A 13,589-nucleotide genomic window follows, 5' to 3' on the forward strand; every position below is an offset into this window, starting at 1 on the left:
ATCTGTATTCATTCTCTTGGTGATCTCACTCAGTCTCAGGGTTTTAAATACAGGCATCATCCAGCTCAGAACCTCTCCCCTGGCAATAGCCTCATATACATAATTCCTATATGCCATCTCCACTTGAGTATCTCAGAGGTATTTCGAATTTAAAATATCCACTCACTAAACTCCTATCCAATCCCCCTTTCCTACCCCTCCTACCTACAGTCTTCTCCCACCTGAGTTAGAGTAAATTATCCTTTCAGATACTCAAACCAAAAATCTTGGTGTAATCCTAACTCTTCTCTTTCCTTTCCATACACCATATCTGACTGGCCTAGAAATCTTGTTGGCTCTATCTTCAAAGTATGTCCAAAACCCAATCTATTTCTCACCATCTCCATTGCTTCTAACCTGATCTGTACCACCTTCATTTCTCACCCAGATTATTCTCAAGAGTCTCCTAATTTGTCTCCCTGCTTCAGTTCTTGCCCCACTAGTCTATTCACAACCTAACATTCAGAATGACCCTTTTTATTATGCTCCGCTTACACTGCTTAAAACGCTTCTCTTTTAACTCAAAGTAAAACTAAACATCTTCCAATGTCTACAAATCCTACAGGGTTCCTGCCCACCCTCCCACCTCATCTGTTATGTTTCAGTTATCCTTGTCCATTCTTCATGCATACCAAGCATGCCTCTACCTCAGGACTTTGTATAGACTATTCCCTCTGTCTAAGATGTTCTTCTGCCCTGCACAACTCCCTCTCTCCTTTACCTCCTTCAATTATTTGCTCAAATATTATACTTTTAGTGAAGGCAACTCTGACCACCCTATTTAAAACTGCAATCCTCACCCTGAATTCCATATCACCCTTATTCTAATATATTTTTAGAATGGCACTTACTGCCATTGATGTACTAGGTAATTTTCTTATTTAAGGTTTATTAACAGCCTCTCTCTATTTACTTCTACTCTTTAGAAGTTTTGACCTTGGTCCTTTGACCTCCCATGCCGTGTAGGTTCAAAATCTGGCAAACACTGGAGGGAGAGACCAGTTGTGAATTTGTTGCAAGCTCTTCCACGAGGGCAGGAATTTCTGTCCCTTTTGTTCCTTGGTGTTATTTCCAGAAATTAGATAGTCCTTGGCATATAGTAGGTGCTCAATAAATACTTCTGAATAAATAATGTTAGGAGATTTTGCAATAGAATATGATAATAGAAGTAAAAAGCAAGTACTATGAGAACACAGAAGCCAGAGCACTTGGGTGAATTAGAAGAGGCTCTGGAAATGATATGACGTATGAGTTACATCTGTAGGCAAGCAGTAAACTTTCATGACTGCTGACTACTTTCCCCACCTGCTCCTAAGTCTGTATATCTCAGACTAGCAAGCAAGCATCCACACATGTACATACACTCAAAGGAACAAAGTTCTCTTCTTTACTACTAGACTGCTTCAAATATTTTCTTATTTTTACCTACCATGAAGAATAGATAAAAATGGTTTCTGATGATAGGATTTTGATTACAATTCAGAATATTTAACTAGGACCAAATCTAAAGAAACTTTAATACATGGATGAAGAAAGCACAGGACTTTGAATACTAAAAGAAGTCAGGGTTTAAACACTCTTCATCATAGGAAATTTTCAAGTGAAAATTAAGGAGTTTGAAGTAAAATTTCAATTTTTTTTTTTTTTGGCACTGTTAAAAAAGAGGGTAAGCACTCATGTTAAAGAATCAGTAGTGATCATCCAAATATGGAAAACGGGTTTTTATTTTATCCTAATGAAACGAAAAGGGAGCAGCCTTTCTGAAATACACATCGAAGTAGGAAGGGAGCTGGAAAATCAGGATCTTTTTTTTCCTGAACAGAGATTGTGCGTAAGTACGATCATGTGTGTATAAACACTCAGTGTATACAGATACACACAGATATAAACTAAATCTGCTTGCCAGACACACTTCCATAACAACCATCTGTTCTCAACTGCTTGGAATTTCCTTAAATTATCCTTCAAAGAAGACCATTTTAATTCATACTCTTTTTATGTCAGAGATTTATATAATCTTAATATTTTATCCTTAGGGAAAAATTTCAAAAACTTTTAACCCTATTTACCTTCAACCTCAGCCAACTACCTCTTTTACTTCTATTTAGCAAACCATAAGGAGGGAGCCTAACAAGAAACAAATCATGTTTCAAACCACAGTATTTACCAAGTGCCATGGAATATACAAAACCAGTATCAAGCTTGATGCCCAGTTTCAAGGGGATTACACTCATTCAGGGAAGACAAAATAAACATATCTGTCTTAGAAATATCCCAAGGTAAATGCTAATTGGTTAAACAGTAACTACAGTCCAATGAGAATTCAGAAAGTGAAAACAGCATGGATTTCACAGCATAGGTGAGGTTTTAGTTGGGCCCTAAAGAACAGTGGCTCATAAAAGAGGACAGCAAAGAGAAAGGTAAGATGAAATGAGAGATGAAAGAACAATCATATAGGATGTATGATGCATATTTAGAATGCTAAGTAACCTGCCTTATTAGAGAGAAAGCATTACACAAAATGAGGAGTAGTAATCAGAGTAAACAGGTAGTGTGTAGCCACATCTTTAAAAAAAAACACACAAAACACAGGAGTTTTGATCTAACACGGGAGTTAAAAAGTAACCATCTTGGATTTCGTGAGCAGGAGACTGAGAAATACCAGCAATTCCCCTGGTATTTTGGGAAAGTTATCCTGGTATCCGACTGGGGAGAGCAGAGACTTGTGGCAGGGAAACTACAGAAGTGTGTGCTGCAGTAAACTGTACACTGGGCTCAGCACAGGGGGTGGCAGCAGAAACCAAGAGGAAACAAATACAGGAAACAACCTAAAGACAGTGTGGGAATTGGTGGTTGTACCCAGTGAAGAAATGGGAAGACTCAAGAAATTACCCACCCAGGCTGAGCTGACAGAAGCCTTATGATGAACGGCCCCAACAGACACTTCTGCACCGAGTCTCACATGCTGGCACGAAGCTACGGCAATGTCAAATAGCAGCAAGGAGTCTCAGAAAGGAGCCCTTTCTGAGGGTTTAAGTGAGACAGAGATGAATACCAGTGAGGAAAAAATGCCAGTATAAGGAAATGGAGGAAACAAAAGCCTGGGAGAAAAGAAAAATCTCTTTCCTTTCTAATACAGAGGCTTAAACAAATCATACCAGTTTATATAATGAGTTTTAAACATATTTATTCACTCACTGAATAAGTTATTTGATAAGTTCAACTAATTAGGTCTTTATACTAGCTACTAACCAACAGAAACATACAGTTCTACCTATGCTAAGCAAAAATTACAATAAATTAAAAAGTGATGCCTGTTTTTGCAAAACTCTGCAATCTGATTAGGGGAACAATCAGGAGTGATCATCAAAACAGTATGGCAGAGGCACTGAAAATCAGGACCATCACAGGCTATGAATAAGTGGTGCAACGATCCCAGCTCAATCTAGACTTAGGGAATAATAATTATAATAGTGAAAAACATTATCAAACAGAAGATGGAAAGTGCCACTTCATCTGAATAGTTCCTGGGAGTAAATGTAAATTTTAGTTTATTGAAACTCTCCTACCTGAGAGGCACATAGGACAAAAAAAGATACAAATCCTACACTAACATAACTCATGGTTTAGAAGAAGGAAACAAAAAACTTGGCAGGTGTTCGAAGGACAATGACAGTTAAACATATTAGAGTGCCCTAAGAGCAAAGGGGAGGGGCACTTATCCCCAGCTCGGAGGAGCAAGGAACTTTCGGGAGGAGGAAACAACTGAGCTCAGCCTGCCAGGTATAGAAAAAGGCCTATCAAAGAAGAGTACACTGTACGCAGACACAGAGCACAGCACAGGAGAGCACCACGAGCCAAAGCCTTATTCAAATTCAAGTCCTTCTGTTCCAAAAGGCAAAATCACACAAACCACCCAAACTGCAGGAGGCAAAAACTGAGACAGGCTTGTCAACAGTCTTTACATTGTAAAGGCACTGCAGAATTCTAAAAGTTTGTGTTCCAGACACCAAAATCAGTTTGACAAAGAATAAGAAAATAAAGAGTCACATTTAGGATGGAAACTTACTTCCTGCCCCTGAATCCCATGCTTGGGATTGTGGTATGGAGTGCAAAGCAGAGCTGTGATAACATGCCAGTCCTGAGCTAAAGCGAATCCTGTGTAAAGATGTTTTCGCAACTCACCACTTGGTAACCAATCCTGAGGTTGTGATCTGGGGCTGGGACAAGGGCCAGCAGTCACAGAATTGCGTTGAGCACACTGAGAAGATACTGCACAGATCTGCAGAGATGGCAGTGGGGCCATTCTGGTGCTGACTCCATCCCCTTCTCTGCCCTGAGCTAAAGCTAGCAGGCAGGCAGACACCCACCCAGAGGGCCCCGGGAGAAGGATATAGGAAAAAGCCACCTCTTCTTCAATGATTTTCTGTGCCACTGCATGTGCCTTGAGATTGCCTGGAATCCTAGATGAGATTCAAGGCTTTCAGGCTTTTCGTTAGCGTGGGAAATCTTTGCTCAAACTTCCTCAGGAAGCCCAGTATGTAAAAACAGTTTTAAGTGGAGCTGTTTTGGTTCTGCAGCAACGAGGACTCTACAGAGCACCAATTTTGAAAATCACTCGGTAAGCCGATCTCTCCAGTCCCCTCACTGGTTGTGTAGCCTGCCCTGCATGCTAGGCCAGGCCTTGGCTCGGAGGCCAGCCCCACATGGTCGCTTCTCTGAATGTCAAAGCCAAAACCATGAATCAGGCCTCTCTCTTCCTTAAATTTAGTAAATTTTTTTGAGATATAATTCAGATTCTAATTTATGTTTCTCCATATATAAACCCTCTGTTTGCTACATCCTTAGAAGAAACAAAAGAGTCTTAATAAGATACATAACATTTCCTGAATTATTTCTGTTAGTTAGATCAGCTACTGATGCCCTTCAGGTGCCAGGGGAGAAGTCATAACAACATCTGAAATATGATTAATGGCTTAGGCCAAATGGCTACTAGGAGAAAATAAAATCCTGTATAGTGTTTTAACTACCAAACCAACCATAACATCCCCAAGGAATGAAAACCCCATTACAAAGCAATACAATTCTATCACCTCATGGCAGTCTTGCAAGTGCTATTTTTAACTATTAATATTTGCTTGAAAAGTATTATAGTGACAATATATCAAATTATTATTCCTACTAAGTGTTATATTCATTAGTTGGGTAATGAATATAACCATGACATGAAATCAACTGTTATATGCTAGTCACTGATTAACTGCTGCTATGTAACTCTGACCTGGATCGTTCTGGGCTTCAGTTTCTTCATTGTTAAAATAGGGACAATAGTCCCTGCTCCCTGCTACTTTCCATGCAAACACAGAGTGAAAGAATAAGCGGAATTATATGAAAATGCTTTAAGTTGGAGGCAAGGTGGTCGAGGAAGATTAAGTACTATCAGTTTCCATAAGACACACTAGCATCCAGGAGGAACGACAGATATTTGTGCTGCTACTGCTCCATACAGTGTGAATTCTGCCAAGTCAGCAACAGTGACTCCATAACAACAGACAGCCGTGTCCCAGAATGTGCTCTTGGCAATAATGCCCCTCCTACATGCACAGCCTGCTTCTTCTCTTGCTTTTCATTTCTTCTCTATAAGCTCCTTGGCACAGACCTCTTTTTTTCAACATTTAACCCTTCTCTCCTTTCTAGTACCTCTGTATTAAGTGCTAATACTATCATCTTCTTCCTTGACACTGCTGTCAATGGAAACTGCTAAAATGCAAATATAGTGGTCCTACTCCTCTGCCTGAACTCATCAATGCCTCCTATCCCTTGTCCAATCTGCAGGATAAAAACTAAAAACCTTAGGTGATACTCAAGGCCCTTCATACTGTGACTGCTCCTATCTCTCAGTCCTCCTCTCTCACCACCCCTCAAATTATACCCCAGCATCCAGCCAAGATTATCCATTTGTCATATCACAGCCTGCGGTGCCATTCAGTTTCTGGGGTTTTATAAAGTTCATGTTGGAAATGTTCCTCCTAAGTTCTTGTCTTCTATACATCTGACCACTCCTTTCCTGTCCACTCCTGCTTCTGTTAGCCTCTGTACCCAGCACATTCTTCTAGACTTGCAATACATGCTTGTTGAATTAGAGTTCCAACAGTAATTACTAGTTCATTTGATCTCATCCACTTAACAGCGATTTATTATACAAAAGACTTTTACATTTTTTTTTTCTTTGACACAGTCTTGCTCTGTCACCCAGGCTGGAGTATAATGACGCGATCTTGGCTCACTGCAACCTCTGCTTCCTGGGTTCAAGTGATTCTTGTGCCTCAATCTCCCAAGTAGCTGGGATTACAGGCCTGCACCACCATGCCCAGCTAATTTTTTTTTTTGTAGAGATGGGGTTTTGCCATGTTGCCCATGTTGATCTCGAACTCCTGGCCTCAAGTGATCTGCCTGCCTCGGACTCCCAAAAGTGCTGGGATTACAGGTGTGAGCCACAATGCCCGGCCAAGACTTTCACATTTTAATGAGAGACAAGTAAAACAAAATCAGAGATCAGACACATTCAAATGCAATTTGTGTTGTGGTAAGTGCTTTAAGGAAGTACACAAGGGGCTGAAACAGAATATCATTGGGATGAGGGGCAGGAATCTACTTTAGATAAAAGATCAGGAAGAACCTCTCTAAGGAGATAACATTTTAGGCAAAACTGATAAACCAGTCACGTAAAGCATCCCAAGCAGAAGGAACAACAGAGGCAAAGGTCTATGGGTAGAGAAGAACTGTTAGTTCAAGGCATTAAAAGACAGCCAGTCTTTTGGCTGGAGAGTAATGAGACAGGGAAAAATTGTTTATCTAAAAAAATGAAGAATTTGGCAAAACAAGGCGAGAGTGTGATCGTGGAGGGTCCTGCTGAGCACAGTAAGGAGTCTGAATGTCATTCCCAATGCAACAGGAAGTCAATCGAAGGCCACAAGCAGCAGTTAAAATGATCTGACTTATGCTTTAGCAAAGGCCAAGAAACACGTCTGTCATCTAGGTCAAAATGACTGTCCAGCCAAGGTCAGTAACCTCATGCAAAGGCCATACCTCCGCCTGCCAGGCCAGTGTAGAGGCTGAGAGTGCAGATGTTCGACCAGCTCCAAGAACAGCAATTGTTTCCCCATCATCATCCACCACTTTGAAGTCCAGGTCCTCATTGTATTTTCTGCGCTTTACTTGCCTTCCCGAGCGTCGTTTCTGTAGGGCAAACACACCCGTCAGAGAAGCTCTCTGAGTGAAAGACAACAGCCTACACAAGAATACCCTCATCTACATTTACTAACATGCCAAGGAGTGCTTTCTTGCCTTACAAAAGAAATCTTTCTTAAATACAACTCTTTTAATAAAAGGACTAAATTCAGTCAAAATGGGATCTAGCTGAGTAGGGGACAGAACAAAAGCTCAATCTCCAAATTGCCATGATCCACTAAAAAGAAGGGGTAGTGTCTCATAGTCCAGTAAGATGTGTTTTGTTCATCAACGGTAGTGACTTTCCCCCTTTCAGAATCCACTTCTCCTCCAATAAAACAAGGATGGGAGCTGAACTCTACCATCTTTGGGGTCCCTTCCAGCACTTGGTGGAAGCACAGATTTTATGACATGATGACAGTTTTATTGTTTTTGCTTAAATTCACCATCCTTACCACATACTTCTAAAAATGTAGTTTGAAAACTAATTAGTATCAATTTTTTGGATTTACTTTGAGAATCTCGTAACACTTCTTGAAATGCAGGGAGACATCTTAAGTGTGACAAAACAAGGTCCCTAAGTCACCTTGAGTGTGATGATCTAAGGATTCATCTCTAATTAAGAAGCTGTACCTTTTAATAATCAACAACAAAACAGCCCAGTGGCTTTCTACAAATAGAGCAGCATACAGTCCATCTCTACATACTAATCATATCTCAACAGTAGAATCACTTCAGGGAACCATTTATCAGCCAGCTCACTCTCAAATATTTAAATCTTAAAAAACAAAAGCAAAAGCAAAATCCCACCTCTCTTTTCTTCTAAAAGATACCTCCTGAGTGTCTCTCTTCTGTTCCTATCACTTCTTCACTAAGTTACCTCTATGATGTTTTACTTTATATGAGGGATTCCACATAAAAACCTCTCCCCAACACCACATACAGATCACCATTCTACAAACACCTAATTCCCTGCCAAATCCCATCAACTCAACGTGCTTGGCTCCTCTGCCAATCTAGACACTTAACAGCCACCAGCCCCAGTTTATAGGCAGTGAGGAGTCTGCTCTGACACCAGACACTGCTGCTTATTAATACTATGACATTACTAGCTGTCATTTTCCTACAGGGAAGAGCAGTGAGAAACCCATGAAGGTCCAGATGATCCTGGAAGGTATAGTACGTCAGTCTTATTCTAAATGAGCCTTGCAGCAGAGTGGCTCAGATAAATTGCTAAGAATATCAGAGGAAACAAAGCACTTTCAAATATTAGACTTCATGCTCAAGAGAGGTTCTCAACTCAGAAAATCCCTAACACTGTCACGGGCACATTTTGGTATATTTTCAGGAATCTGGTTTAGATGGGCAACTCCTTGTTTCCAAGTTTGGCCAAACCTTCCTTACTTGTTGGCATAATGGATACATTTCTGACTTTCCCAGCATCTGGGATTATGAAAATATCCCTGTACGGGCTGGCCTGGCACTCTGAGCACTAAATGCATTACCTGTATGGCAAAAGAGGCCTTACCTAGCTTGGCTCACAACTTCATTTTCCACATCAACTCCCTCTGCAGCCTAATATCCTGCTACCTTCCAGGAATGAGGCAAATACCACTAAAAAACTGGGATATCATTAGTATACTGATCGGGCTAGGGCAAAAGACTACAGTCTACCTGCTCACCCACCAAAACGGTAAAAGCCCAGCCCAGGGCTAGGGAGTGTGCTAGAGAAAGGCATAGAGGAGCAACACGATCAGTGTCAGCCAGATCCCATCCAGGAGCCGTAATCTCCACCAGGCCTCCCGGTCACAGCTGTACCTGGCTGTCTGTAGACTCAGTGGACTCCTCAGGACTCCGCAGAGATGGGTTCGTCAGGCCCTGATCCAGCTCTAAACTCTCCACTGTAGTTTCACTTTTCCTTTTTCCTTTCTTCTTTTTCTCCACTGGGGTTGGTCCTTGCTCCTTGCTACAAGGAGAAATTCAGAATTAAAACTGTTGGGCAGTTTTTAAAACTAAGATTTCTCATGTGATCAACGTCATGAAATCACATCCTGGAATTCTAGGACCAGGGCAGGCTTTAATGGGGAATCTACAAGAGTTTCTTCCAAGAAATAAACAGAAACATGGAAATATCTACATGGATCAATGCAGAATTCACTTTATTACACCCCATCATGACTATTATAGCTACAATTAATATGTAAGAAATAATATGAACATCTCCAAAAACTTCACTTTCAGTTTATACAAATGTCTTCTCTAGGAAGTTCAACTGCTTCACAGATACTAAGAATCATCAAATTACAATCTCCCTTTAAGTTTCTTAGGAAGAGACATCTCCCTAATCTGTCACCAACCTCTATTGAGTACACGCTGGACCTGGAGTGAACACTAGGCACTCAAAAATGAAGAGAACACTGCCTCTGCCCTTGACAAGCTTACAATTATGAAAATCCTACAGTTCACCTACAACCACAGCCCAAGGCAGTACATGAATGCTTCCTCAGAGAGGTAGAGATGGGCCAAGTCCATCCACCCTGCAAGGCCCTGCTAAGATGGCAACATTTTCTCTAAAAGGCCTTTCCTGGCCTTCCTAGCTGGTAAAATCTCTTTCCTACACTCCCAAAGCACTTCCAACTATACTTTGCTTAAACGACCTTTCACCAGAATTAGTTGTTAACTACAATATGAGGCTCAGAATTCACATAACTAAATACAGTGCCTGGATCCTCTACAGTTGCTCAATAAACATTTGCTATCCTGGATAAATGAGTATTTTATGCTTCTCTGATCTCTCTTATCAGACTCGAAGTTCCTAGAGGGCAGTATGTGCTTGACTATGTTTTGTATTCCTCAGAGTGAGTAGTCTTATGCTTTATGCATAGTAAGTATTCAATTAATATTTAAGCAAGCCTTAAAACTGCTTTTTAAGCAATGGATAGATGGATGCATTAATGAATGGCTATGATTAACTGTGAATGGGGAGATTTGAGAACATGCATTTGAGCAGAGATACATATATGTGCACATATAAAAACATAATTCTGACAGACAGTAGTAGGAATAACAATAACTAATGATTGCAGCTAATACTTTATATAATAATTACTATATGCAGGCACATTCTTTTACATGAATTATTGCCTTTGCTCTTCACAACAGCCCTGTAAAGCAGATGGTAATTTTTTTTTTTTTTAGACGGAGTCTCGCGCTGTTGCCCAGGATGGGGTGCAGTGGCGTGATCTTGGCTCACTGCAACCTCTACCTCCCACGTTTAATTCTCCTGCCTCAGTCTCCCCTGTAGCTGGGATTACAGGTGTCCGTCACCACGCATGGCTAATTGTTTTTGTTTGTTTTCAGTATTTTTAGTAGAGATGGGGTTTCATCATGTTGGCCAGGCTGGTCTAAAACTCCTGACCTCAAATGATCTGCCTGCCTCAGCCTTCCAGAGTGCTGAGATTACAGGTGTGAGCCACCACACCTGGCCAGCAGATGGTATTCTTATTCTCATTTTATCTTGAGGAATCTGAGGCATGGCGAGGTTAAGTTAGATTTCCAGGGCAACAGGGTTAGTAAATGGCAGAGACAAGATGTGAACCCGAGTGGAGTCTGTGCTCTTGATCATAGCATTCTTGGGGAATAGAACAGTGTTTTGGATACATTTAGTAAAAGATAGCTGGCTCTGTGTCTGGATAACAGGGCAAGTGAACAGAAGCACTATGTGATGGAGCTCAAAGGAAAAATCAAGGGTGCACCAGGCCAGGAAGTTTAGACTTCATTCTGCGTGAAAAGGGCCATGAAAGCAGGTCCAGGAAAGAGGGAATGAAGCCTTTCAAGGGTGGAAATGCTTTGAAAGGCCCAGCAGGAGTAGAACCAGGAAGTCTCGGCAAGTGACAGAAAGTGGGGAACAAGAAGAGCCAACACTGGTACTTCCCATCAGGAGAGTTAGTAGAAAGTTTGGGGAAGAGAAGGAAACTGGATGACCTGGCTCAGAGGGGTGATCAAGCACACGAACCAGCCAGTGCTGATCGCTCAATCTGCCTGCTTCCCTCTTGAACACCCGTCACCCTTCATATGTCCCTAACCAGGTCAGCACAAACTCTGCCCAGCTTCTATTCCCCAGGCTGGAGACGGGCTTGCCTACCTACCAGGAAAGTTCATGATGAAAGCTATTTGCAAACTAACACAGGAACAGAAAACCAAATACTGCATGTTCTCACTTACAAGTGGGAGCTAAATGATGAGAATATATGGACACATAGAGGGGAATGACACACACTAGGGCCTTTTGGAGGGTGGAGGATGGGAGCAGGTAGAGGATCAGGAAAAATAACTAATGGATACTAGGCTTAATACCTGGGGGATGAAATAATCTATACAACCAACCACCATGACATAAGTTTACTTATGTAACAAACCTGCATTTGTACCTCTGAACTTAAAAGTTAAAAAAACAAAACAAAACTATTTTGATCCAACCTAAAGAACTGAAACTCTAGGGGTCATGCCATTTTTGAGGATTACCGATTTTTAACAAGGGACTTGTACCCTTAAGCAGGGGAAAAAGCAAAAGTTCTTCCTTTTCTTATCAGTTCAGAAGAGGAGACTCAGGTAAAACAGTTTTAAAAGATGCTAAATTTTCACATGAGTCTTTATCTCATGTTATGTGGCTCCTCATTAAGAAAACTGCATAGCAAATTACATTCTACAAAGTACTTATGAATTCCATGTCTCATCCCAATCCCATGAGGGAGCCAGGACAAATAATCCCCATATTCCAGATGAGGAAAACTGAGATTTAAAAGCAGCAAATGCCCCAAAGTCAGCAGCAGGGCAGAGGCTTACGCTCAGGTCAGCTGAGTCACAGGGTATTACTTTTTCATACCAAGTCATGTATTTTGCCTCTTTTTTTCTAAAATCCCAGTCTCCCTTTTAGTAAATGTAAAAACTTCAAATATCCTTTAATGTTATTTGAATCTCAAAATAATGGTTTAAAAAATCAGCAACATTCCAATGACCCAAATATATAAAATTCACAAATTCATAGATGTTGATAGTTTTTTATAGCTCTCTTAGAAAAAGGTTTCTTTGACACAAATTTAAAGAAAGCTTACAATATCCCAAAAGTCACCCTAATAATCACATGCTCAGTGGCCTCTGAATCTTCTGTACAATCTTAAATCTTTCTTTCCAGCATTTGAAATCAATTTCATCTACTTACTAAACGTAACTTCATTATATTAGAACACTGTCTGTATATGTTTAACCTTCATTTTAAATATTTATTGTGTGTATATGTGTGTGTGCGTGCGCGCGTGCCCACATGCTAGAATCATGTGCTTCACTGTGGAACATCATACTCAAAGCTAAACCAAGCCCAAATCATAACTAAGGAATAGAACTTCCTCAAAATATGACACTTCACTAGGAGACTTGTGTGCATTTTGAGCAACATGTTAAATGTTGAAAGGAGGGGGGAATCATGGTGAAGCACTTTCCAAGTCAAGCCTGAGGCGCTACTAGATTTTCCCAGACAGAAGCTGGGGGTTAGGTAGCCTGGAAATACTTTCTCAAATATTTGTCAGTAAAATAGGAAAATACCGGCAGAAACGTGCTCCCTTATTTGCAGGTAAAGAAGAAGATACTCTACTTGGGAAATCTTCAAAGTGATTTTTTGGAGGTTACCTTTGGCAAGACAAGCCATTTTAAGTTCCAAAAATTCTTTCTGGAGCTCTTCTGATAAAGTCAAGTTTCAGGAAGAAAAGATTCCCTGAAAGCTTACAAGTGGGATCTTCAAATAGGATATTAAGAAAATACCATCTGAATTCATCCTCTAAAAAGACCAGATAAGGTATATATTTCTGCTCTTTGGAAAAAGTTTTAAAAACCTTATGCTTGAGAGTTTTATCAACTGAAGACATTTCAATCTCCAAACTGCTATACCTATAGATGATTTGGCCCATGAATATTTGTTTGCTCCTTGAAGTTCCAGGTTCTTCAAAAATAATGGATAGGCCAGGTGTGGTGGCTCATGACTGTAATCCCAGCACTTTGGGAGGCCCAGGCAGGCAGACTGCTTGAGCTCAGGAGTTCAAGACCAGCCTGGGCAATATGGCGAAACCCCGTCTCTACAAAAAAATACAAAAATTAGCCGGGCATGGTGGCGCAGGCCTGTGGTCCCCGCTACTTGGGAGGCTGAGGTGGGAGAATTGTTTGAGCCTGGAAGGCAGAGGTTGCAGTGAGCACAGATCATGCCACTGCACTCCAACCTGACTGTCAGAGTCAGACCCTGTCTCAAAAACAAACAAACAAACAAACAA

General features: G+C 40.9%; 1 protein-coding gene across 14 annotated transcripts in view; it reads right to left on the bottom strand.

Moving 5' to 3' along the window:
* CHD6 (chromodomain helicase DNA binding protein 6) overlaps positions 1 to 13,589 on the bottom strand; it is a 216,295-nt gene that overhangs the window by 103,635 nt on the left and 99,071 nt on the right. For all 14 annotated transcript variants that reach the window (NM_032221.5, XM_047440549.1, XM_047440545.1 and 11 more), the window contains 2 exons: positions 9,088 to 9,235; positions 7,129 to 7,278 (listed from right to left, as the gene is read on the bottom strand). In NM_032221.5, coding sequence (NP_115597.3) covers positions 7,129 to 7,278; positions 9,088 to 9,235 — 298 coding nt within the window. The remainder of the gene's footprint in view (positions 1 to 7,128; positions 7,279 to 9,087; positions 9,236 to 13,589) is intronic.

This window comes from Homo sapiens, chromosome 20 (assembly GCF_000001405.40).
Source record: "Homo sapiens chromosome 20, GRCh38.p14 Primary Assembly".
NCBI classification, from domain to species: domain Eukaryota; kingdom Metazoa; phylum Chordata; class Mammalia; order Primates; family Hominidae; genus Homo; species Homo sapiens.